This window comes from Homo sapiens, chromosome 1 (genome assembly GCF_000001405.40).
Source record: "Homo sapiens chromosome 1, GRCh38.p14 Primary Assembly".
NCBI classification, from domain to species: Eukaryota; Metazoa; Chordata; class Mammalia; order Primates; family Hominidae; genus Homo; species Homo sapiens.
Window position 1 is genome coordinate 45,380,116 of NC_000001.11, and position 23,201 is coordinate 45,403,316.

At 42.0% G+C, this 23,201-nt stretch overlaps 1 protein-coding gene across 2 annotated transcripts in view, besides 2 other annotated features; it reads right to left on the reverse strand.

The window, feature by feature from the left end:
* The window catches only part of TESK2 (testis associated actin remodelling kinase 2), a 147,281-nt gene that overhangs the window by 36,233 nt on the left and 87,847 nt on the right, over window positions 1–23,201 (reverse strand). For both annotated transcript variants that reach the window (NM_001320800.2, NM_007170.3), the window contains one exon: window positions 5,797–5,845. In NM_001320800.2, coding sequence (NP_001307729.1) covers window positions 5,797–5,845 — 49 coding nt within the window. The remainder of the gene's footprint in view (window positions 1–5,796; window positions 5,846–23,201) is intronic.
* Window positions 10,449–10,949: an enhancer, noted in NCBI's record as "H3K27ac hESC enhancer chr1:45856236-45856736 (GRCh37/hg19 assembly coordinates)". NCBI's record gives its function as "activates a minimal SCP1, AML or CMV promoter by ChIP-STARR-seq in primed H9 embryonic stem cells {active_cell/tissue: H9 hESC(primed)}" and the evidence as "EXISTENCE:reporter gene assay evidence [ECO:0000049][PMID:30033119]".
* Window positions 13,877–13,946: an enhancer, noted in NCBI's record as "active region_969". NCBI's record gives its function as "activates an Ori minimal core promoter by ATAC-STARR-seq in GM12878 lymphoblastoid cells {active_cell/tissue: GM12878}" and the evidence as "EXISTENCE:reporter gene assay evidence [ECO:0000049][PMID:35858748]".

A 23,201-nucleotide genomic window follows, 5' to 3' on the forward strand; every position in this document is an offset into this window, starting at 1 on the left:
TCTCAAACTCCTGGCCTCAGGTGATCCACCCGCCTCGGCCTCCCAAAGTGTTGGGATTACAGGCATGAGCCACTGCACCTGGCTGGATAGTTTTCTTCATGGCAGAAAAGGCAAGAGAGACCCCCAAAACATCCTGCTCACCAAGCAATTCAATTGCTGACTCTCCTGATCAGAGAGTACTGCCATTTGTGAACCCTCTCCACAACCATATACCTTACCCAGTTCCCCAATCTTCTAGCCACTGAGAGTTTCTGCACTAACAGGTTCCCAAACTGCTTGATTTTGACGGTATTTCCTTCTCTGTGCCTTTCTTAACAATATTAAAAGGAAAAAGCGCTTTGAGATGACATACAATCTATCCAGAGGCATCTCTTTCTCTTCTCTCTTTCTTCCTCTCCTCTCCATCCCAACCTCCCACTCATCTTGGCTATAGAAGAGAAAACATATACCATGTAAGTTTTTGGCAGCTACTTTTTGATTATGAGTGACAGACATCTTTATTTTAGGATGAAACTGACAACATAAAGACAGAGCAAAGAGAAAGAATAAGGTCTCTGGACAGCGTCAATTTAACCATTGAATTATATCAATACTTAATCTAATAAACTGCTAAAATTCCAGTTATATGAGTCCTTTTGTTGTTTAAAGCCCATTTAACTATTTTCTGTTACTTGCTCCCAAACACATTCTAATACACCCAATGACCAGGAAGAAAGTATCTTTTCCAAATAACCCAGAATACATAAAAAGTGAGTCAGAATTGAATTCTACAAATACTATGCATGCTACACACATAAGATCTTGTGCTTAGCACCGTGGGGAATATAAAAATCAATTAAGCACAGCATGTTGTAATAGAAATAGACTTTGAAGTCAGATGAACCTGGATGCAATCCTACTTTGGGGAAGTAACTTAATTTCTCTAAGCTTTAGTTTTCTCATCTACAAAATGGAAGAAATAAGATTATAGCATTGTGAGAATTATAGTTAATATACAGTATCAACCATAGCATTCTGCCCATAGTGGGAGTTTAAATAACTAATAGTTGTTATGGTTTAAGAAATGGGAGAAATTCTTTACTCTCCAATGGGGCAGAAAACACAAATACTTATGATCTGCTGACTGGGATATTTACAGGGCATGGTTGATTGTCAAAGGTTCCAATTCTTCGCCTTCTACTGAATCTGTGCCTTTTGACACATAACTTTGCGGCATATTCCTGATAAGGGCAGAGCATACTTCCTACCCCTGGACTCAAGCATGTGACTTGCTTTGTCCAATGGGATGTTGGCCAAGCAAATCTGAACATAAGGAGAGTCATGAAAATCAGTTGTGCAAATGGACTGTCATATTCTTGCTATTCTGGTATCATCTTAAAAAGGACAAGTCCAGTCTAGCCCACTGGCCCCAGAAGGAGGATGAGCCAGAGCAAAGTTCTCCCAGCAAATTTCAGCCTAGAGCAGACCACCAGCTGACCTGCAGATGCATGAGTGAGCCTGAGATCAGCACAACTGCCAAATCTAGCCCCACTCAGTTCAGCTAACTCTGGAAATGTATGAGAAATAAACGTTTATTGTATGCTTTTGAGGTTTTGTGGCTGGAGGGCAACAGCTAACCAATACACAGAATTATATTTTCTGTTAAAAAAAAAACAAAGATTTACACTTCCCTGATACTTGTGACTAAGTGAAAGACAAGGTTAGGTCTTGTGAATGAAAGACATACTTATGGTACATTCCTATTCTTTTTTTTTTTTTTTTTTTTTTTTAAGAGGTCTCTCTCTGTTGCTCAGGCTGAAGTGCAGTGGTACAATCATGGCTCATTGCATTCTCAACCTTCAACCTCCTGGGCTCAAGCAATCATCCTGTCTCAGCCTCCCAAGTAGCTGAGACTGTAGGTGTGTATCACCACATCTGGCTGATTTTTTTAATTTTTTGTAGAGTCTGGGTCTCACTATGTTGCCAAGGCTGGTTTCAAAATCATGGCCTCAGGCAATCCTTCTGCCTCTACCTCCTAAAAGTGTTGGGATTATAGGCATGAGCCACTGCACCCAGCCTCAATACAGATTCATATTTCAACTCATTAAATTTAAAAGGTTTCATGTGACTTTTCACCAAACCGTTTTCACTATATATTTTTTGAAACAGGGTCTTGCTCTGTCACCAAGGCTGGAATACAGTAGTGCAAGTATGGCTCACTGCAGCCTCAACCTCCTGGGCTCAGGTGATCCTCCTACCTCAGCCTCTCCAATAGCTGGGACTACAGGTGCATGCTACCACACCTGACTAATTTTTGTATTTTTTGTAGAGACAGGCTTTTGCCATGTTGCCCAGGCTGGTCTCAAATTTCTGAGCTCAAGCAATCTGCCCACCTTGGCCTCTGGAAGTGTTGGGATTACAGGCGTGAACTACCATGCCCAGACTATGCTTTCACTTTAACAAATACTAGTTTGCTTAAAAACTTGAGTCAGCTGGCCGGGCGCGGTGGCTCACACCTGTAATCCCAGCACTTTGGGAGGCCAAGGCAGGCGGATCACCTGAGGTCAGGAGTTCAAGACCAGCCTGACCAACATGGAGAAACCCCGTCTCTACTAAAAATACAAAATTAGCCGGTCATGGTGGCGCATGCCTGTAATCCCAGCTACTCAGGAGGCTGAGGCAGGAGAATTGCTTGAATCTGGGAGGTGGATTGCAGTGAGCTGAGATCGGGCCATTGCACTCCAGCCTGGGCAACAAGAGTGAAACTCCGTCCCCCCAAAAAAAAAATCTTTAGTCTATCATTACTACAGGTAGTTTAAAAATAAAAACTAAGTGTCTGACTGTTCCAAGTTCAATTAATGTCTACAATTACAAAGAAGACTCATGGAAATGGTTCAAGCCCAGGAAAGTCCAGATCACTAATGTATATGGGAAATATTCTTCCTAATAATGTCAATGTTTTATAGGTATTAATGAGTGCCATGCTTGTCTACTGTAATTATTGACAAATAAATGTGAAGAGAAATGAAGAATGGTACTCACATTACTTTGGAGGACAAGCATTCCACCAACTGAAAAGTATTTGGTGAATGTCATCTAAGTTTCAAGGACTGTGCTAGATATTTTTAATAATTTATTTTTTATTATCCTTACCATATAGTTGTGCTGCCAAGTCAAATTATAAGGCAATTAAACCTAGAAGTCTCGAAAGACCTATGCCATCAAGGCCTTTGCTGATCCCTTCTAAAAATAACCAAGAGCATTTGGCTATTTGGGCTTCATCACTACCAGTCTATTAACATCATATTAAAAATTACTAATATCATAAGCTATGTCAAAATCTCATTAATGCTGCTGGAAAGACTGGCAATAAATACTCTTCCATAAAGTACACATTGTATGTTTTATATGGCTATAAAGAAGCTAACAAGCAGCAGATTAAGTACAACATGGCCAAGAGAATATTGCATTATGATCACTCATTACTGTCATTTCCACCACAACCTGCTTTAAAATATGCAACTTAACACAGATTTTAAAGGATGTTCTTCTCTGTCGGCAAAATTAACACACCAGCCCTTCCAATGAATTCACATTTCAGAGAACAATCACACATGCAGGGAATGCATCAAATACTTTTATGCTTGTTAGCGTCAGAACTCTGGTAGACAGAAGGAAGGGGAGAATTTTATCTCTGAAGAATTTATAGACTCACTTCCAAGAAAAAAAATACATGGCAAATGTTTCTTGATCTGGGGTGCTGGTTATGGGTGTGTTCATTTGTAAAAATTTTGTGAGTGGTACTTTTCATATGTATACTTTTTCTGATATGTTATACTTCAGTAAAAAGTCTAATTTAATGACACTAACAGCGGTATAGGACTAAGTACAAAATGAAAAATATTAACAATTCAGAGTTCAGAAGAGGGACTAGTCACTGTTATTTTGTTCAAAGAGTTAACATGTATTAAATAATTTATACATGCCAGGCACTGTACTAAATAAGTATTTTATATTTCATCCTCCCAACATCCTTGTGAGGTCAACATTATATCAACAGCATTTGCCACAATTAATACTCCTTCCTTGAAACTCTTTCCTTTTCATTACAGGCCAGCACGTTCTTCTGGTTTTCTACCTACCTCACTAACTGCTCCTTCTCAGTCTGTCCTTCTCCCCAGACTTTCATTCATTCATTCATCTATCTATCTATCGACAGGGTCTCACTCTATGTATGTATGTATGTATGTATGTATGTATGTACGTACGTATCTATCTATCTATCTATCTATCTGTCTATCTATCTATCTATCTATCTATCTATCTATCTATCTATGTATCTAGAGACAGGGTCTCACTCTGTTGCCCAGGCTGGAGTGCAGTGGCACAATCATGGCTCACTATAGCCTCAAACTCCTGGGCTCAAGCAATCTTGCTGCCCCAGACTCCTGAGTAAATAGGACTACAGGTACATGCCATCACATCCAGCTAATTATTAATTTTTTTTTTTTTTTTTTTTTTTTTTTTTTTTTGTAGAGACAGAGCCTTGCTATGTTGCCCAGGCTGGTCTCGAAATCCTGGTCTTAGGTAATCCTCTCACCTCAGACTCCCAAATATTCTAGGGCTCAGCTCTTGGTCATCTTCTCTATCTAAACTCCCTGGGGCAGGTATTATTAATTATTATTATCCCCATTATACAGATGGAAACTTTGAGATACAGACAGATTCAAACGTATGTAATCAAGACTTCAGAGGCCATGCTCTTAACCTCTTCACCATTCTGTCTTCTTTGGCTTTCCATTTAAGAGGCAGGGCATAGCTGCACACATTCCACATTCTAGTGCCTTCAGTAACTGAGAAAAGAGAGAGACTGAGGCACATGGGACCCTCTTTCATAAGCTATTAAGGACTAATACCAGTTACCAAGCCAGTAAAAAACCAACACTCTTGCAAATTCTGTTAAACAACTTTCCTTCCTAAGTTTCTTCACTTTGTACTTTGGTAATTGCTTCTCAAGGAGGAATGTGAAAAGAATCTAGAACATAGATTCTCAAATCCAGATGCTCATGAAATAATCTGAGGAGCTTTTAAAAATATAGATGTAATAGGCCCTATACAAACCTATTAAACCTAGAAGATTCCAGGAATCTGTGTTTCCAAGGAGCACCCAAGCAAGGTCTGAAGTTGATAACTTGGTACCTGAATTGGCTCTAAAGAGAGTTCTCTGATCCTCGGAGGATGAATAATGACTATCACATATTCCGCCTAGCAGAGGCTGGAAATGAAACGAGAATGAAGATGTAAACTGATTCCAACAAGTAATAAGACCAACCAGGAAACCACAGCAGGGACTGTGGAATTCTAGATCAGGACAGCAAACATTACCAGGTGGTCTGGTAATTTGTTGCCATAGAGAGTTTGCAGTCAAGTGCTGTCATCCCTTGGCTTAGGATGGAGTCATATCTAGGCAGCAAGAGCTAACTTAATACTTTAATACTTGAGCACTCATATTGTCAGAGTATTCACCAAGTATTATGAGGGAATAGAAGGACATTAAGAAATACTGCCCATTCTGCACATGTACCCCAGAACTTAAAGTGTATGTGTGTGTGTGTGTATATATATATATATATATATATATAAAGAAATACTGCCATTGTTCCCAGGCAACAGAATAAAGCATTATTAACACTGCCATTTTTGCATAAACATAAATGCACATACATTTTGTTTACATATGCAAGCAACACTTACTATGGAACTATAAATGCTGAAACTAAGGCAAATACGTTACTTCAACACTTACTGATGTCTTACCTCTGTAAGTGCATGCAATTGTCCTTGATGAACACATACACCCATGAACCTAAAGAACAAGACAGAATTATTTAACAAGTGAAAAGGACACAAATATAAATTCATATAGAGAAATCAGGTTAGTTACCCATGCATTAGAAACAACCTGTGGGGTGCGGCATGATGGCTTACATCTGTAATCCCCGCACTTTAGGAGGCAGAGGTGTGCGGATCACCTGAGGTCAGGAGTTCAAGACCATCCTGGCCAACATGGTGAAACCACATCTCTATTAAAAATACAAAAATTAGGCAGGTGTGGTGGCATGCGCCTGTAGTCCGAGCTGCTCAGGAGACTGAGGCAGGAGAATCCCTTGAACCTGGAAGGCAGAGGTTGCAGTGAGCTGAGATCGCACCATTGCACTCCAGCCTAGGGGACAAGAGCGAGACTTTGACTCAAAAAAAAAAAAAAAAAAAAGAGACTGCATCTAAAAAAAAAAAAAGGAAAGATAGATAGAAAAGAAAGGAAGGGAAAGGGAAAGGCAAAGAGAAAGGGAAAGGGAAAGGAAAGGAAGAAAGAACCTGTGAAGCCCCCTGCTATCTTGTACAGCCCTGTAGACTCTTAATCTTTTTGTTGTTTTTAATTATTTCAAGAGTTTTAGGGGTACAGGTGGTTTTTGGTTATATGGATTAGTTTTTTTACTGGTGATTTCTGGGATTTTGGAACACCTGTCACCTGAGCATTGTACACTGTACCCCATATGTGGTTTTGTTGCTTTTTTTTTGAGACAGAGTCTCACCCTGTTGCCAAGCTGGAGTACAGTGGCATGATCTTGTCTCACTGCAACCTCCGCCTCCCGGGTTCAAGCAATTCTCCTGCCTCAGCCTCCAGAGTAGCTGGGACTACAGGCATGCGCCACCACGCCCAGCTAATTTTTGTATTTTTAGTAGAGACGGGGTTTCATCATGTTGGCCAGGATGGTCTCAATCTCTTGACCTTGTGATCCACCCGCCTCGGCCTCCCAAAGTGATGGGATTACAGGCGTGAGCCACCGCACCCAGCCCCATATGTAGTTTTTTATCCTTCATCCCCCTCCCAACCTTTCCCCCCAGGTCCTCAGGGTTCATTATATCATTCTTACGCCTTTGCATAAGATTTGGCATAAGACTCTTAATCTTGATTAAGATGCCAGGCTGATAAATTTCTAAATTTACCATGAAGTATCTGGTTGTAGCAAGACCTGGTGGTAAAAAGCAATGGTGGAAGAAGGAGAGTAGTCTTGAAAACAGCATGGTATAATGGAAAAAGCCCCAATTGGAAGTAAATAAACTTGATGCTGGTTTCAGCTCTGCCATTACCTAACTAAATGCTTACACACAGACACAAAGTCACTATTTCTTTTTAGTTTACACATTTAAGTGATATTTGAAGTTTTTCTCAACCAACAGGTTATATTTATATATATGAATGATTTTTAAATAAAAACCATAAATCAATGAGTATGACTGATGATGATCATAAAGTAGGAGAAGATAAACGTCTTAAAGCCATTAACAATACCCAAGTCCCAAGTAAGTTCTAGTTTAGAAGAGCAAAGGAATGGGAAGAGACTGACTACAAGCAGAGTGTAAGGCACAGCAGTGACTGTGTTAGAAAGGATCATAAAATTTCCAGGAAGACAGGGTCCATGTCATATTCTTCCCTGTGTTCACAGAACCTAACACCACCTAGTAAACAAAGAGTAAGCAAATTCAGTAAATGATTGCTGAGTGAGAAGAAACAAAGGAGAATGCCTGGTTGGCTATAATATCACAGCAGAGTTTTTAAAACATGCTGCTTCCACATTTCAACTAATGTGGAAATATCCCAGCATTTTGGGAGGCCAAGGCGGGTGGATCACCTGAGGTCAGGAGTTCAAGACCACCCTGGCCAACATGGTGAAACCCTGTCTCTACTAAAAATACAAAAGTTAGCTGGGCATGGTAGCAGGTGCCTGTAGTCCCAGCTACTCAGGAGGCTGAGGCAGGAAAATCACTTGAACCCGGGAGGCGGAGGCTGCAGTGAGCCGAGATCGTGCCATTGCACTCCAGCCTGGGCAACCAGAGCAAAACTCTGCCTCAAAAATAAATAAATTGATTAATTAATTAATAATAAAAATAAAATAAGATGGGTCATTTTTCTCTAAATGTTCATACAACTCCCCAATCACTAGAATTTTGAGGGTATGCCATTAATTTATTAAACAATTATTTATTGAATGGCTGCTATGTTGAAAGTATTAAGGACAGAGAGTAAATAAAAACTTTCATTCTAGGGTCATTCTGTTGGAGGGCAATTATAATAAAAAGATAAATTATGCAGAATGTGGTTAAATTGTATACATGAACTGCTGTTTCTAGTCAGCCTCTTTTAGAAAGACTGCTTCTCTGAGATTAAATTATATCCCTGCCTAGGAATAATTCTATTCCCATTATCCTACTATAACAAAAACAGTTAAAGTAAAATATGATAAGCTACATTTCCTGCATGATTAAGGCTTTCCAAACTATGATGGGTACTAGCAGGAATTGGCTAACTATGGCCAACTACCTGTTTTTATAAATTAAGTTTTACTAGAACATAGATATGGTATTATCTATGGCTTCTTTGATGTTATAATGGCAGAGTTGAATAGTTGTGACAGAGACTGTGTGACTTGTAAAGACTAAAATATTTACTATCTAGCCCTTTATAGAAAAAGTCTGCTGACTACAATGGTTTGAATGTTTGCTCCCTCCAAAACTCATAGTGAAACTTAATTCCCAACGTGGCAGTATTGAGAGGTACGGCTTTTTTTTTTTTTTTTTTTTTGAGACGGAGTCTCATTCTGTTGCCCAGGCTGGAGTGCAGTGGCGCAATCTCGGCTCACTGCAAGCTCCGCCTCCCTGGTTCACGCCATTCTCCTGCCTCAGCCTCCCAAGTAGCTGGGACTACAGGCGCCCGCCACCACGCCCGGCTAATTTTTTGTATGTTTAGTAGGGACGGGGTTTCACCGTGTTAGCTGAGATGGTCTCGATCTCCTGACCTTGTGATCTGCCCGTCTCAGCCTCCCAAAGTGCTGGGATTACAGGCGTGAGCCACCGCGCCCGGCCGAGAGGTATGGCTTTTAAGAGGTGATTGGGTCATGAGGGCTCTGCCTAATCCATTCATGGATTAATGGATTATTGCAGGAATGAGTCTGGTAGCTTTCTAAGAGGAGGAAGAGACTGGGCACAGTGGTTCATGCATATAATCCCAACACTTTGAGTGGTCAAGGCAGAAGGATCGCTTGAATCCAGGAGTTCAAGACTAGCCTGGGCAATATAGGGAGACCTGAGACCTCGTCATATACATATGTTAGCTGGGTGTGGTCACACACTTTTGTGGTCTCAGTTACTCAGGAGGCTGAGGTGGGAGGACCACTTGAGCCCAGGAAGTTGAGGCTGCAGTGAGCTGAGATCATGCCACTGTACTCAAGCCTGGGTGACAGCGTGAGACCCTGTCTCCAACAAAAATACACAGGAAGAGAGACCTGATCTGGCATACTCAGCCCCTTTGCCATGTGATGCCCTGAGCCACTTCGGGACTCTGCAGAGAGTCCCCACCAGCAAGAAGACTCTCACCAGATGTGGCCTCTCAACCCTGGACTTCTCAGCCTCCATAACTGTAAGAAATAGTTTCCTTTTCTTTATAAATTACCCAGTTTCTGGTATTCTAAGCAATAGAAAACACTAAGGCATTGACCCTTCCTCTAGAGCACAGGGATATCTCTCCATTTCCACCTGGGAGACATTAAGAAAGTTACCTAATCTTTATAAATCGCAATTTCCTCATCTATAAAAATGGACAGAAAAATAACACCACCTTAAAAGGTTGTTATGAGAATTAAATGGGATATTTTCAAGTATACTGTGTAGCAATGCCTAGTGTATGCTCAAATAAAGGTCAGTGGTTTTTATTTTATCATTATTAACAATCCTAAATTACATTATCCTTTACATGGCTATGAGAGTTACCTTTTCAAAACACAAAATATGTCATTCTCTTTTTCATAACCCTTCAATGGTTCCCTTCTGCCTACAGAATAACATTAAAACTTCCCATGATCCACTCCAACTTATCTTTGAAACCTCACATTTTCCCATGAGCCTTATTCTTCATCCACCTGTCCTTTTCCTCTGGGCTCTATGACCCTAGCCTACAAATATATAGTTAAATTTCCCTCATCTTAAAAAATTCTTCCGCCAGGCACAGTGGCTCACACCTGGAATCCTGGCACTTGGGGAGGCCAAGGCGGGCAGATCTCTTGAGCCCAGGAGATCAAGACCAGCCTGGAGAATACGGTGAAATATGATCTTTACAAAAAATACAAAATAATAATTGTATTTTTTATACAAAAAAATACAAAAATTAGCCAGGCATGGTGGCATGCCTGTGGTCCCAGCTACTCAGTAGGCTGAGGCAGGAGGATCACTTTAGCCAGGGAGGCAGAAGTTGCAGTGAGCCAAGATCACGCCACTGCACTCCAGCCTGGGCAACAGAGCGAGACTCTGTCTAAAAAATAAAAATAGAAATCTTCCCTTGCCCCCTCACTAAAATATGAATCTAATTCACTTTTTATTTGTTACCAAACTTTAAGAATAGGTTACATTCTCTATCTATGTTTCTAAGGTTTTTTTTTTTTCTTTAAAAAGAGTCTTACTTTGTTGCCCAGGCTGGAGTGCAGTGGTGTGATCACTGCTCATTGCAACCTTGAACTTCTGGGCTCAAGCAATCCTCCCACCTCAGCCTCATGAGCAGCTAGGACTATAGGTGTGCACCACCACGCCTGGCTAATTTTGGTATTATTATTATTATTGTTATTGTTATTATTATTATTATCATAGCGATAGGGTCTCATTATGTTGCCTAGGCTGGTCTGGAACTCCTGGCCTCAAGAAATCCTCCCACCTCAGCTTCCTAAAGTGCTGAGCTTACAGGCGTGAGCCATTGCACCCAGCCTCTAGCTACATTTCTTTTTTTTTTTTTTTGAGATGGAGTCTCACTCTGCGCCCAGGCTGGAGTGCAGTGGCGCGATCTCGGCTCACTGTAAGCTCTGCCTCCCGGGTTCATGCCATTCTCCTGCCCCAGCCTCCCGAGTAGCTGGAACTATAGGCGCATGCCACCACACCCAGCTAATTTTTGTATTTTTAGTAGAGATGGGGTTTCACTGTGTTAGCCAGGATGGTCTTGATCTCCTGACCTCGTGATCCGCCCCCCTCAGCCTCCCAAAGTGCTGGGATTACAGGTGTGAGCCACTGCGCCCAGCCCTTTTTTTTTTTTTTTTTTTGAGACAGGGTCTTGCTTTGTTGTCCAGGCTGGAGTACAACAGTGTGATTATAGCTCACTGCAACCTCAACCTCATTGGCTCACGTGATCCTCCCACCTCAGCCTCCTGAGTAGCTGGGACTACAGGCACACATCACCACAGCGAGCAAATTTTTTAATTTTTTAAATAGAGCTGGGGTCTTGCTGTTGTCCAGGTTGGTCTTGAACTGTTTGTGTCAAGCAATCCTCCTGCATTGGCCCCATATCACTCTTGAAACTTTTCTCACTATGGAAGATTCAGAGCTTCATTTATCTCTGCATTTCTACTACCTAGTATAGTGTCTGGAACACAGTAAGCTAGTTATCAGTAAAGATTTATTAAATGGCATGAATGATTTTTATGACTTGGAAACTTGGTTGAAGTTCCTTCCTTGAATTGGAATACTATATTTACTGAAAATCATCCAAGATCAGCTAAAATTTCATCTTCTATACAAAGGATCTCCTGGACGCCCTTAGCATTAATCTCTTCTCTCTCTCTTTTGTCTCTCCCTACCTCCCACAGTATAACTAGCACTTTTCACCCTACTTTGAATGACTGCTAATTAGCATTAAGTTAAGTGGTCTGGATCTAGAGTTAGACTGCTTTGATTTGAATCCTGGCTCTACCATTTACTGATGACCTCTCTGCAATTCAGTTTCTTCACATGCAAAATGTAAATATTAATATTACCTAACCCATATGGTTATTGTGAAGATGAAATAAGATAACTTGGGCTTCTGGAACATAATAAACACTAGAAAATGTTAGCTATTCTTGCTAATCTAACATTTCTGACTCCTTCCCCAGACTGGAATATAAGGTATTGATTGATTGATTGATTGACTGATTGAGACTGTCTCGCTCTGTCACCCAGGCTGAAGTGCAGTGGTGCAATCTTGCCTCACTGCAACCTCCGCCTCCCGGGTTCAAGCAATTCTCCTGCCTCAGCCTCCTGAGTAGCTGAGATTACAGGCACCTGCCACCATGCCCAGGTAATTTTTGTATTTTTAGTACAGACAGGGCTTCACCATGTTGGCCAGGCTGGTCTTAAACTTCCTCACCTTAGGTGATCCACCCACCTCAGGTGATCTGCCTGCCTTAGCCTCCCAAAGTGCTGGGATTACAGGCATAAGCCACCGTGCTTGGCCTATTTGAATATTTTTTAGCCCGGCGCGGTGGCTCACGCCTGTAATCCCAGCACTTTGCGAGGCAGAAGCTGGCGGATCACCTCAGGTCGGGAGTTTGAGACCAGCCTGACCAACATGGAAAACCCTGTCTCTACTAAAAATACAAAATTAGCCAGGTGTGGTGGCACATGCCTGTAATCCCAGATACTCGGGAGGCTGAGGCAGGAGAATTGCTTGAACCCAGGAGGTGGAGGTTGTGGTGAGCCGAGAGCGCACCATTGCACTCCGGCCTGGGCAACAAGAGTGAAACTCTGTCTCAAAAAAAAAAAAAAAATTTATTTTTTAGAGATAGTATTGCTTTGTTGCCCAGGCTGGTCTCAAATTCCTGGGCTCAAGTGATCCTCCCACCTCGGCCTCCCAAAGTGCTAGGATTACAGGCATGAGCCACTATGCCGGGCCAAGGCTTTTAAGAGTACAGATCTTGTCTCATTTGTTTCTATATACAATGTCTCACACAAAATGTTTCGTACACAAGTTGCTAAACACACATTTATTGAATGAAGAAGCAATAATTACCAAATTAACTTCACAATGTAAACTCGTGTTACATTAAAGAACATTAGAGGCAAGTACAAGGCAGTAAAGCCAAGAGGTATTTGATTTTCTTTAATCAAATATTTATAAAGAAGTCAGGCAATAGGATTCTACTAGAAAAACAATGGCTACATTTTAAAATCATGGGTTTTTCTAGAAGCTGAAAAGACCTGGTTTGGATGTGACACACCCTTGCTTTTCTTCCTCCCAGGCCCACTATTATTTTGACCACACCATCTACAGAGATGTCATAGCACATCCAGGCAGGCACTGGCTTCATAGGAGAGTTTTCTGTCTGCTTTCTTCCCACCCTCTACTCAAATAACCATATCACAATCGTGTCACACAACTCTACTTCTACGTGCAACTTTACTGCCTAACCTCTCCCAAATCATTCCTAATGGAAAACCACCACCACATCCAAAGTGGTGTCACAGAGCTGGCAAGCTGAGACATGCATTAGCTTTATATTGGAAAAAGAGCGGCCGGGCATAGTGGCTCATGTCTGTAATCCCAGCACTTTGGGAGGCCAAGGTGGGAGGATCACGAGGTCAAGAGATCAAGACCATCCTGGCCAACATGGTGAAACCCCATCTCTACTAAAAATACAAAAATTAGCCAGGCGTGGTGGTGGGCGTCTGTAGTCCCAGCTACTCGGGAGGCTGAGGCAGGAGAATAGCTTGAACCTGGGAGATGGAGGTTGCAGTGAGCTAAGATTGTGCCACTGCACTTCAGCCTGGGTGACAGTGAGACTCCGTCTCAAAAAAAAAAAAAAAAAGAGCTTGAACAGAGTTAATCACTCTAAATGTTGTAAAAAAACAATATACTATAAAGAGGAAATATTACTCATCCTTGACAGGGAAGTGACATGTGCCTAGAAAAGCACGTAACATCAACAATAAGTTTTCACTAAAGTTTTTATTGCTAACTATATCAAAAATCGAAATGAAGCCTCAAATCATTGTCATGTCACAAGACCTTAAAAATTTATATTCTGAATGATTTTTATTCCCCTATCCCCATACCCCACCCCAAATCATACCAGCTAGAATTACTTAACTCAGGAAGGGGGTGCTTTCTTAATGCATGTGCTTTGAGAGTAAGTGATTACTCAACTTTGTTATTTTTAGTTTCATATGACATACAGATTCATGTTGAGAAGGAGGGTTGCTTTTTTTTTTGAGACAAGGTCTTGCTCTGTCGCCCAGTCTGGAGTGCGGTGGCACAGTGCAATAGTGTGATCATAAGCTCGCTGCAGCCTCAACCTCCCAGTCTCAAGTGACTCTCCTGTCTCACTGTCTCAGCCTCCTGAGCAGCTGGGACTACAGGCACACACCACAGCTGGCTTTTTTTTTTTTTTTTTTTTTGGTAGAGACAGGGTCTCACTGTGTTGCCTAGGCTGGTCTCAAGTTCCTGGCCTCAAGTGATCTTCCTGCCTTGGCTTCCCAAAGTAAGCCACCACACTAGGCCAAGGATTGCTTTTGTACTTTAGACCACTGTGGAAACAAACCCATGAAGGATCTTGTCAAAATGCAGACTCGCACTCTGTAGGTCAGGGATGGGGCCTAAGAATCTGAATTTCTAAACTCCCAGGTGATGCTGATGTCGCTTGGTCTACAGACTACATGCAGTGAGTAGCAAAGCCTTTAAACAAATGACTGTTTATCACTGCTCTAAAGATAGTAAGACCAACAGGAAACTCTTTTTTTTTTTTTTTTTTTTTTTTTTTTTAAAGACAGAGCCGCACTCTGTTGCCCAGGCTGCAGTACAATGGCTCAGTCTTGGTTCACTGCACCTCTGCCTCCTGAGTTCAAGCGATTCTCCTGCCTCAGCCTCCCGAGTAGCTGGGATTAGAGGCGGCCACCACACCTGGCTAATTTTTGTATTTTTAGTAGAGACGGGGTGTTTCACCATGTTGGCTAGGCTGGTCTCGAACTCCTGACCTCAAGTGATCCGCCCGTCTCAGCCTCCCAAAAGGCTGGGATTACAGGCATTAGCCACTGCACCCGGCCCCAACAGGAAACTCTTAACTCTGATACTACTGGTAAACTAGACTTTGTCTAGAGACTAGAGTCTTTTCTATAGCATGATTTACCATTCCCCATAAAGTGTCATTATTAAGCTTTTCCACATCTTTGCCTTTTCTCAGACTGTTCCCACTACCTAAAATGCCCCTCTCTTCATTTCCACATACCTTACTTAACGATGGGGATACATTCTGAGAAATGCATTCTTAGGTGATTTTGTGGTTGCATAATCATAGAGTGTACTTACATAAACCTGGATGGTATAGCCTACAATACCCTCAGGCTATACGGTAGAGTCTATTGATCCTAGGCTACAAGCCTGTACAGCATATTACTGTACTGAATACTGTAGACAACTGCAACAAAATGGTAAGTTTTGTGTATCTTAACATATCTAAACATAGAAAAGGTACAGTAAAAATATGGTATTATAATCTCATGGAACCACCATCATGTATGCGGTCTGTTGTTGACCAAAACATCTTATGCACTGCATTACTGTAGTTAGATTCTACTCATCCTCAAATACCAGTTCAAATACTTCCTTCTCATGTTCTTCAACTACCAAGGCAGCCATTTACACTCCTTTCTTTTCTTTTCTTTTCTTTTTTTTTTTTTTTGAGACAAGGTCCCACTCTGTCACCCAGGCTGGAGTGCAGTGTTGCAATTACAGCTCACTGCAACCTTGAACTCCTGGGCTCAAACAATCTTTCTGCCTCACCCTCCCAAATATGCTAGGATTACAGGTGTGAGCCACCATGCCCAGCCTATATCACCTTCCTATAGCATCATTTCCAAGCTTTAACTATGTTTTATCACATGCCTTATAACTTTTTTACTAGACCACAAGCTTCTTAACAGCAAGATACCATTCTCTTGCCTGGCATATGACAATATATAAACGCTTGTTAGTCTTTCTCTGAAGGAGGTTAAAAATAAAAAACACTTGCTGGGTAAATTATGGTTTGTTTTGTTTTGTTTTGTTTTTGAGGCAAGATCTAGCTCTGTCAACTACGCTGGAGAGCAGTGGCACCATCATAGCTCACTGCAGCCTCAAACTCCTGGGCTCAAGTGATTCTTCACTGGGTAAATTTATTTTTATTTATTTTTATTTATTTTTATTTTGAGACTGGGTCTTGCTCTGTCACCCAGGCTAGAATGCAGCAGCGCTATCTGGCCTCCATGTTCAAGTGATTCTCCCACCTCAGCCTCCCAAGTAGCTAAGATTACAGGCATGTGCCCCCATACCTGGCTAATTTTTTTGTATTTTTAGTAGAGACAGGGTTTCACCATGTTGGCCAGGCTGGTCTTGAACTCCTGACCTCAAGTGATCCACCCGCCTCAGCCTCCCAAAGTACTGGGATTACAGGTGTGAGCTACTGCGCCCAGCCTTCACTGGGTAAATTTAAAACACAACTCAAAATTTTTTGAGTACCTATTATGTGCCAGGCACTGGCAACGATGATAATGATGATGGTATGAGATAACTCTTTTTTTTTTTTGAAACAGAGTCTCACTCTGTTGCCCACGCTGGAGTGCAGTAGTGCAATCTCAGCTTACTGCAACCTCTGCCTCCCAGGTTCAAGCAATTCTCCTGCCTCAGCCTCCCGAGTAGCTGGGATTACAGGCGCCTGCCACCATGCCTGGCTAATTTTTATATTTTTAGTAGAGACAGGGTTTTGCCACGTTGGCCAGGCTGGTCTCGAACTCCTGACCTCAGGTGATCCACCTGCCTCGGCCTCCCAAAGTGCTGGGATTACAGGCATGAGCCACCACGCCCGGCCTGGTATCAGCTAAGTTGTTTTTTTTTTTTTTTTTTTTTTTGAGATGGAGTCTCACTTCGTTGCTCTGTTGCCCAGGCTGGAGTGCAGTGGCACAATCTTGGCTCACTGCAACCTCCACCTCCCAGGTTCAGGGGATTCTCCTGCCTCAGCCTCCCAAGCAGCTGGGATTACAAGCGTGCACCACCATGCCTGACTAATTTTGGTATTTTTATTAGAGACAGCATTTTACCATGTTGGCCAGGCGGGTCTCAAACTCCTGACCTCAAGTGATCCGCCATCCTCGGCCTCCTGAAGTGCTGGGATTACAGGTGTGAGCCACCACACCCAGCCTGGTATCAGCTAACTCTTAATGAGCACTTACTATGCAGGCATTGTTCTAAGCACTTTACCTTATATGAAATCATTTAATCCTCATAATAACCCAATGAAGTAGTACTTTTATTATCCCAATCATACCAATAAAGAAACTGAGGCACAGAGATTAAGTAACTTGCCCCAAATCATACAGCTAATAAAAGGCAGAGCCGGGAGTCAAACCTAAACAGTTGATTATAGAGTCTGTGTTCTTAATCACAATGCTATATTACCTCTCTGTATAGTTATACAAAGTATATAAAGATGAGCAAGACACAATCACTTCCCTTGAGAAACTGCTACTCAAAAAGCTTTTGTGGCAGCTTACAGATCCCGATTAAAGTCCAAATTCCTTACCATGTTATTCAAAGGTCTGAATGATCTGATCCAAACCTCTCTTGCTTTATCTCCTATTACATCCACCTGCATTCTCTCTCTTTTCTTTTTCTTTTGCATTTTATAAAATTCTTATTTTTCCAACCCGGACCCAGAGCCAGCACCGCCTGCAGGCTCTGAGGCCACAGGCACCACCTGCATTCTCTATGTTGCAGTTATACAACCTGCCACTTCTAAATATGTCCTGAATCCTCCTACTTCCATATTGTTGTGAGAATGAGTCTCTCTGTCTGGAATCCATTTTTCAAAGCTCTATGAATCCTTAAAAACTTGGCTCAAGAACACCTCCAAATAACAACAACAATAATAGCACCAAACATTTATATAGCATTTAGTGTGCCAGACATGTCCACATATTAAATCACCTAACTCTTTTTGTGTTTTTTAGAGACAGGATCTCACTCTATCACTCAGGCTGGAGTGCAGTGGCGTGATCATAGCTAACTGCAGCCTTGAACTCATGGGCTCACACGATCCTCCCACCTCGGCCTCCAAAATAGCTGAGACTACAAGCATGCACCATCTCACCTGGCTAATTTTTTAATTTTTTTGTAGAGATGGGGTTTCCTTATGTTGTCCAGGCTACTCTCGAACTCCTGGCCTCAAGCAATTCTTCTGTTTCAGCCTCCCAAAGGGCTGGGATTACAGGTGGGAGCCACTGTGCCTGGCCTGTCACTGAATTCTTAAAATAGCTCTTTGAAGTTGGTTATAAGAATCTCTAGCTCAGAGATGTAATTTCAAATATTTCCAATCATAATTAATCTTTCTCGAGGCGGGAGAATCACTTGAGGTCAAGGGTTCAAGACCAGCCTGGCCAACATGGAGAAACCCAATCTCTACCAAAAATACAAAAAAAATTAGCTGGGTGTGGTGGCGTGCACCTGTAGTCCCAGTTACTCAGGAGGCTGAGGCAGAAGAAAATTGCTTGAACCCAGGAGGCAGAGGCTGCAGTGAGCCGAGATTGAGCCACTGCACTCCAGCCTGGGTGACAGAGCAAGCCTCCGTTTCAAAAAAATAATAATAAAAATAAAAATAAACCTCTACTGGAGCATTTATTAGGCCCTGCCTTCTACATCAAGTTTTACCTAATGTCTACCTCTTCCATGATATTAAAAGGTTTTTGAGGGCAGGGATCCTGTGTGTGGAAGAGAATAGCTACTTGTTCAACAAATTGCTTCCCCTTTCCTCCTGAAGTAGATTACATTTCCCAGTGTTTATTATAGTTGGTTAAGACTGTAACACTAAGTTCTGGCCAGTGGTATATGGGCAGAAGTGATTATGTCATTTCTAGGCCTGTTCCATAAAACCTCAACACTATTTTCCACAGCTTCTTCCTTCATCTGCCAGCAGATGCAGAAGATCCAGTGGAGGAACCTGAGGCCCTCTTCTAGGTGAAAATGAGCTCTCCTTCCACCTCTACCCAACCTCCATTGGACTAGGACCTGAAAAAAAAAAAAAAAAAAAAAAAACAAGCCTTTAAGCCACTAGTTAGTCCACCTGGACAACATATACCATGTAGTTTTGTGCCTCTCCATACACTTAAAACATTGCCTTGTTCACAGTTAGTTCTCAGTATTCATTGAACTTAAATAAAAGTTGAAATTTTTTTTTTTTTTTTTTTTTTTTTTGAGACAAGGTCTCCATCTTTTGCCCAGGCTGGAGTGCAGTGGCACGATCTTGGCTCACTGTAGCCTCCACTTCCTGGGCTCAAGCGATCCTCCCACCTCAGCCTCCCAAGTAGCTGGGACTACAGGTACGCACCACCACACCCAGCTAATTTTTGTATTTTTTTTGAGATGGAGTTTTGCTCTTGTTACCCAGGCTAGAGTGAAGTGGCATGATCTCAGCTCACTGCAACCTCCACCTCCCAGGTTCAAGCAATTCTCCTGCCTCAGCATCCCGAGTAGCTGGGATTATAGGCATGCGCCACCACACCCAGCTAATTTTTGTATTTTTAGTAGAGATGGGGTTTCTCCATGTTGGTCAGGGTGGTCTCAAACTCCCGACCTCAGGTAATCCGCCCGCCTTGGCCTCCCAAAGTGCTGGGATTACAGGCGTGAGCCACTGCACCAGGCCTAATTTTTGTATTTTTGTAGAGATGGGGTTTTGTCATGTTACCCAGGCTGGTCTTGAACTCCTGTGCTCAAGCAATCTGCCTGCCTCGGCCTCCCAAATTGCTGGGATTTCACAGGCACGAAGACACTGCACCCTGCCAAAAGTTGAAATTCTTATTCCAAGGCAGGTCTTTTCCTAGGACCTACTATTAGCCAGCAGTCTCCAAAATGGGTAATGAGCCGCATTATCCGTTGGAGTATGGGAAGAAAATGAAAACTTTTACTTATTTTTGATAAAAAGAGAAATTTCATTTTACTAATATTTAATTATGGGTTAATAGTAGCACATGGGGATGTGCTCAAAAATGCTTTCCTAATGGGATACTGAGGTAGGCAGACTAATGGCCCCCCAGAGATGTCTATGTCCTAATCCCCAGAACCTGTGACTGTGTCGCATTATATGGCAAGGGAAATAAATCAAAATTGTAGATGCAATTAAAGTTGCTGGTCAGAAGACTTTAAAAGAGAGATTATCCTGGATTATCACTGTGGGTCCAAAGTAATCACAAGGTCCTCATAGGTGGAAGAGGGAGGCAGAAGAGTCAATATCAGAGTGATGCAATGTGAGAAAGACTCATTGCTGGGTTTGAAGACGGAAGGGGTCTATGAGCCGAGGAATGCAAACAGCCACTGGCAGCTGAAAAAAGTAAGGAAATGGATTCTCCTCTAGAGCCTCCAGAGAGGAATGCAGCCCTGCTGATACCTTGATTTTAGCCCAGTGAGACTCTTGTCAGACCTCTGACTTATAGAACAGTAAGATAAAATAAACGTGTGTTGTTTTAAGCTACTAAGTTTGTGGTAATTCGTTATGATAGCCACAGAAAACTAATAATAGGTACATAACACAAAAAATTGTATGGGTCACTCCCCTGTGATATAACATTAACAGATCTAAAACAAATTTTAGACTTTAACTCTTTGTAAACTAGCATAAGGAAAATAACATTAACATGTTCCTTGGTGGCATTCGCATTCAGTCAGTCAAATATTTATCAAATTCACGGTTCTGTATAAAGCTCAGAGTTAAACATTAAAGCATAAATGTCCTCCCTCAAACTTTATTACCTAAACAAAGAAGTGAACGAAGAGCCAGGCATGGTGGCTCACACCTATAATCCCAGCACTTTGGGAGGCCAAGGCAGGTGAATCACCTGAGGCCAGGAGTTCAAGACCAGCCTGGCCAACATGATGAAACCCCATCTCTACTAAAAATATAAAAATTAACCGGATGTGGTGGCACACACCTGTAATCCCAGCTACTCAGGAGGCTGAGGCACAAGAATTGCTTGAAACCAGGAGGCGGAGGTTGCAGTGAGCCGGTATCATGCCACTGTACTCCATCCAGCCTGGACAACAGAGCGAGACTCTGTCTTAAAAAAAAAAAAAAAAAAGAAGTGAAGAAAGAGGTGTGACATAGTCTAAAACATATCCTTACTCTGATTTAAAAAACACTGACACTACTGGCCAAGTGTGGTGGCTCACATCTGTAATCCCAGCACTTTGGGAGGCCAAGGCAGGTGGATCACCTGAGGTCAGAAGTTTGAGACCAGCCTGACCAACGTGGTGAAACCCTGTCTCTACTAAAAATATAAAAATTAGCTGGGCGTGGTTGCAGCTGCCTGTAATCCCAGCTACTCAGTAGGCTGAGGCAGGAGAATTGCTTGAACTTGGGAGGCGGAGATTGCAGTGAGCCGAGATCTCACCATTGCACTCCAGCCTGGGCAACAAGAGCAAAACTCCATCTCAAAGAAATAATAATAATAAATAAATAAATAATAAAAATTAAAAAAACACTGACACTGCTATTACTACTGTTCATGGACCTCCTGAAGGCTGAATAACAGCACCTGGTAGGAAGAGTTCTGGGGCCACTGTATCAAAGCTGTCAAGAAAATTACTTACTGCTTACCTACAATATACCTGGAAACTGTGCTAATTGCTTTATAAATATATTACCTGAGATGAAATTACCCCCACTTTATCATCTAGGAAAATGAGGTTTGGAGTATTTAAATGACTTGACAAAGGTTAAAGAGGGTACTGGAATCTGGATGTTTGGCTCCAAAGTCTGTGTTTTGCCTTGTGATAATGAGAAAGAAAGAAAAAAAGGCCAGTGGTTCAATAAAACCACTTTTGGTTTTTGATTCATAAAAAAGAACTGCCCTTCTACGAACCAATGAAAATCTACCTGGTTTGCTTTACAAGCTTTTCTGCTGCCAACGTTGAGCAGTAAGCAGCATACATATCATAGGGGTTCTTCTGACCCATACTGGTCTTTCCAGAAAAATGTGATTCTAAAGGTTATGGTAACAACAATTAAGAGGCCTAAATAAACCTATAATACAATGTTAAAACGTGGACATAATTTTGATACTTATGTTTTCTAAAAGGCCTACATCTAAAACACTGAAACCCTGCTAATAACCATTAAAAAAAAAGAAAAGAAAAGAAAAGAGGCCAGGCACAGTGACTCACACCTGTAATCCCAGCACTTTGGGAGATCAAGGTGGGAGGACCACTTGAGGCCAGGAGTTCAGGACCAGTCTGGGCAACATAGTGAGACCCTGTCTCTAAAAAAATAAAAAAATTAAATTAGCCAGGCATGGTGGTGTGTGCTTGTAGTCCCAGCTACTCAGAAGACAGCCAGGAGGATCACTTGAGGTCAGAAGGTCAAGGCTATAGTGAGCTATGACCATACCACTGCACTTCTCTGCCTGGGCAAAACAGCAAGATCTTGTCTTTAAAAAAAAAAAAAAAAGAAAAAGAAAAAAGAAAAAGAAACAGATGCATGCAAAGATTGATGAAACCTAAATAAATTGGTGTACTATTTTTTCTTTTTTTTTTTTTGAGACTGAGTTTAGCTCTTGTTGCCCAGGCTGGAGTGCAATGGTGCGATCTTGGCTGACCACAACCTCTGCTTCCTGGGTTCAAGCGATTCTCCTGCCTCAGCCTCCCAAGTAGCTGGGATTACAGGCATGCAGCACCACACCAAGCTAATTTTGTATTTTTAGTAGAGATGGGGTTTCTCCATGTTGGTCAGGCTAGTCTCAAACTCCCGACTTCAGGTGATCCGCCCACCTCGGCCTCCCAAAGTGCTGGGATTACAGGCATGAGCCAATGCATCCAGCCTATTCTTTTTTAAAAAGTATGTTTTTCCAGAATTTTTATCTAATTTCCTCTCATAATTTTGGAAGAAAGGGACCTGTAACGTACTCTACCAGACTCCACTAACCTTTAACACGTAGCACAAAATAAATTGCTTTGCATTTTACTCCCAAATAATACAAAGATACCATCATTTCTTGGACTTGGGCTAGAAAAAAAAAATCACCAATAACAACAACAAAAAGGCCAGGTACAGCAGCTCACACCTGTAATCCCAGCACTTTGGGAGGCTGAGGTGGGAGGATTGCTTGAGCCCAGGAGTTCAAGATCAGCCTGGGCAACATAGGGAGACCTCATCTCTACTAAATATCAAAAAATTAGCTGGGTGTGGGGCACGCCTGTGGTCCTAGCTACTCAGGAGGCTGAAGTGGAAGGCTTGAGCCTGAGAGGTTGAGACTACAGTGAGCCGTGATGGGAAAAAAAAAAAAAAAGAAAGAAAGAAAAAGATGAAGAAGAAGAAAGAAGAAGAGAAGGCAATGGCTGAGATCTCAAGTCCCAG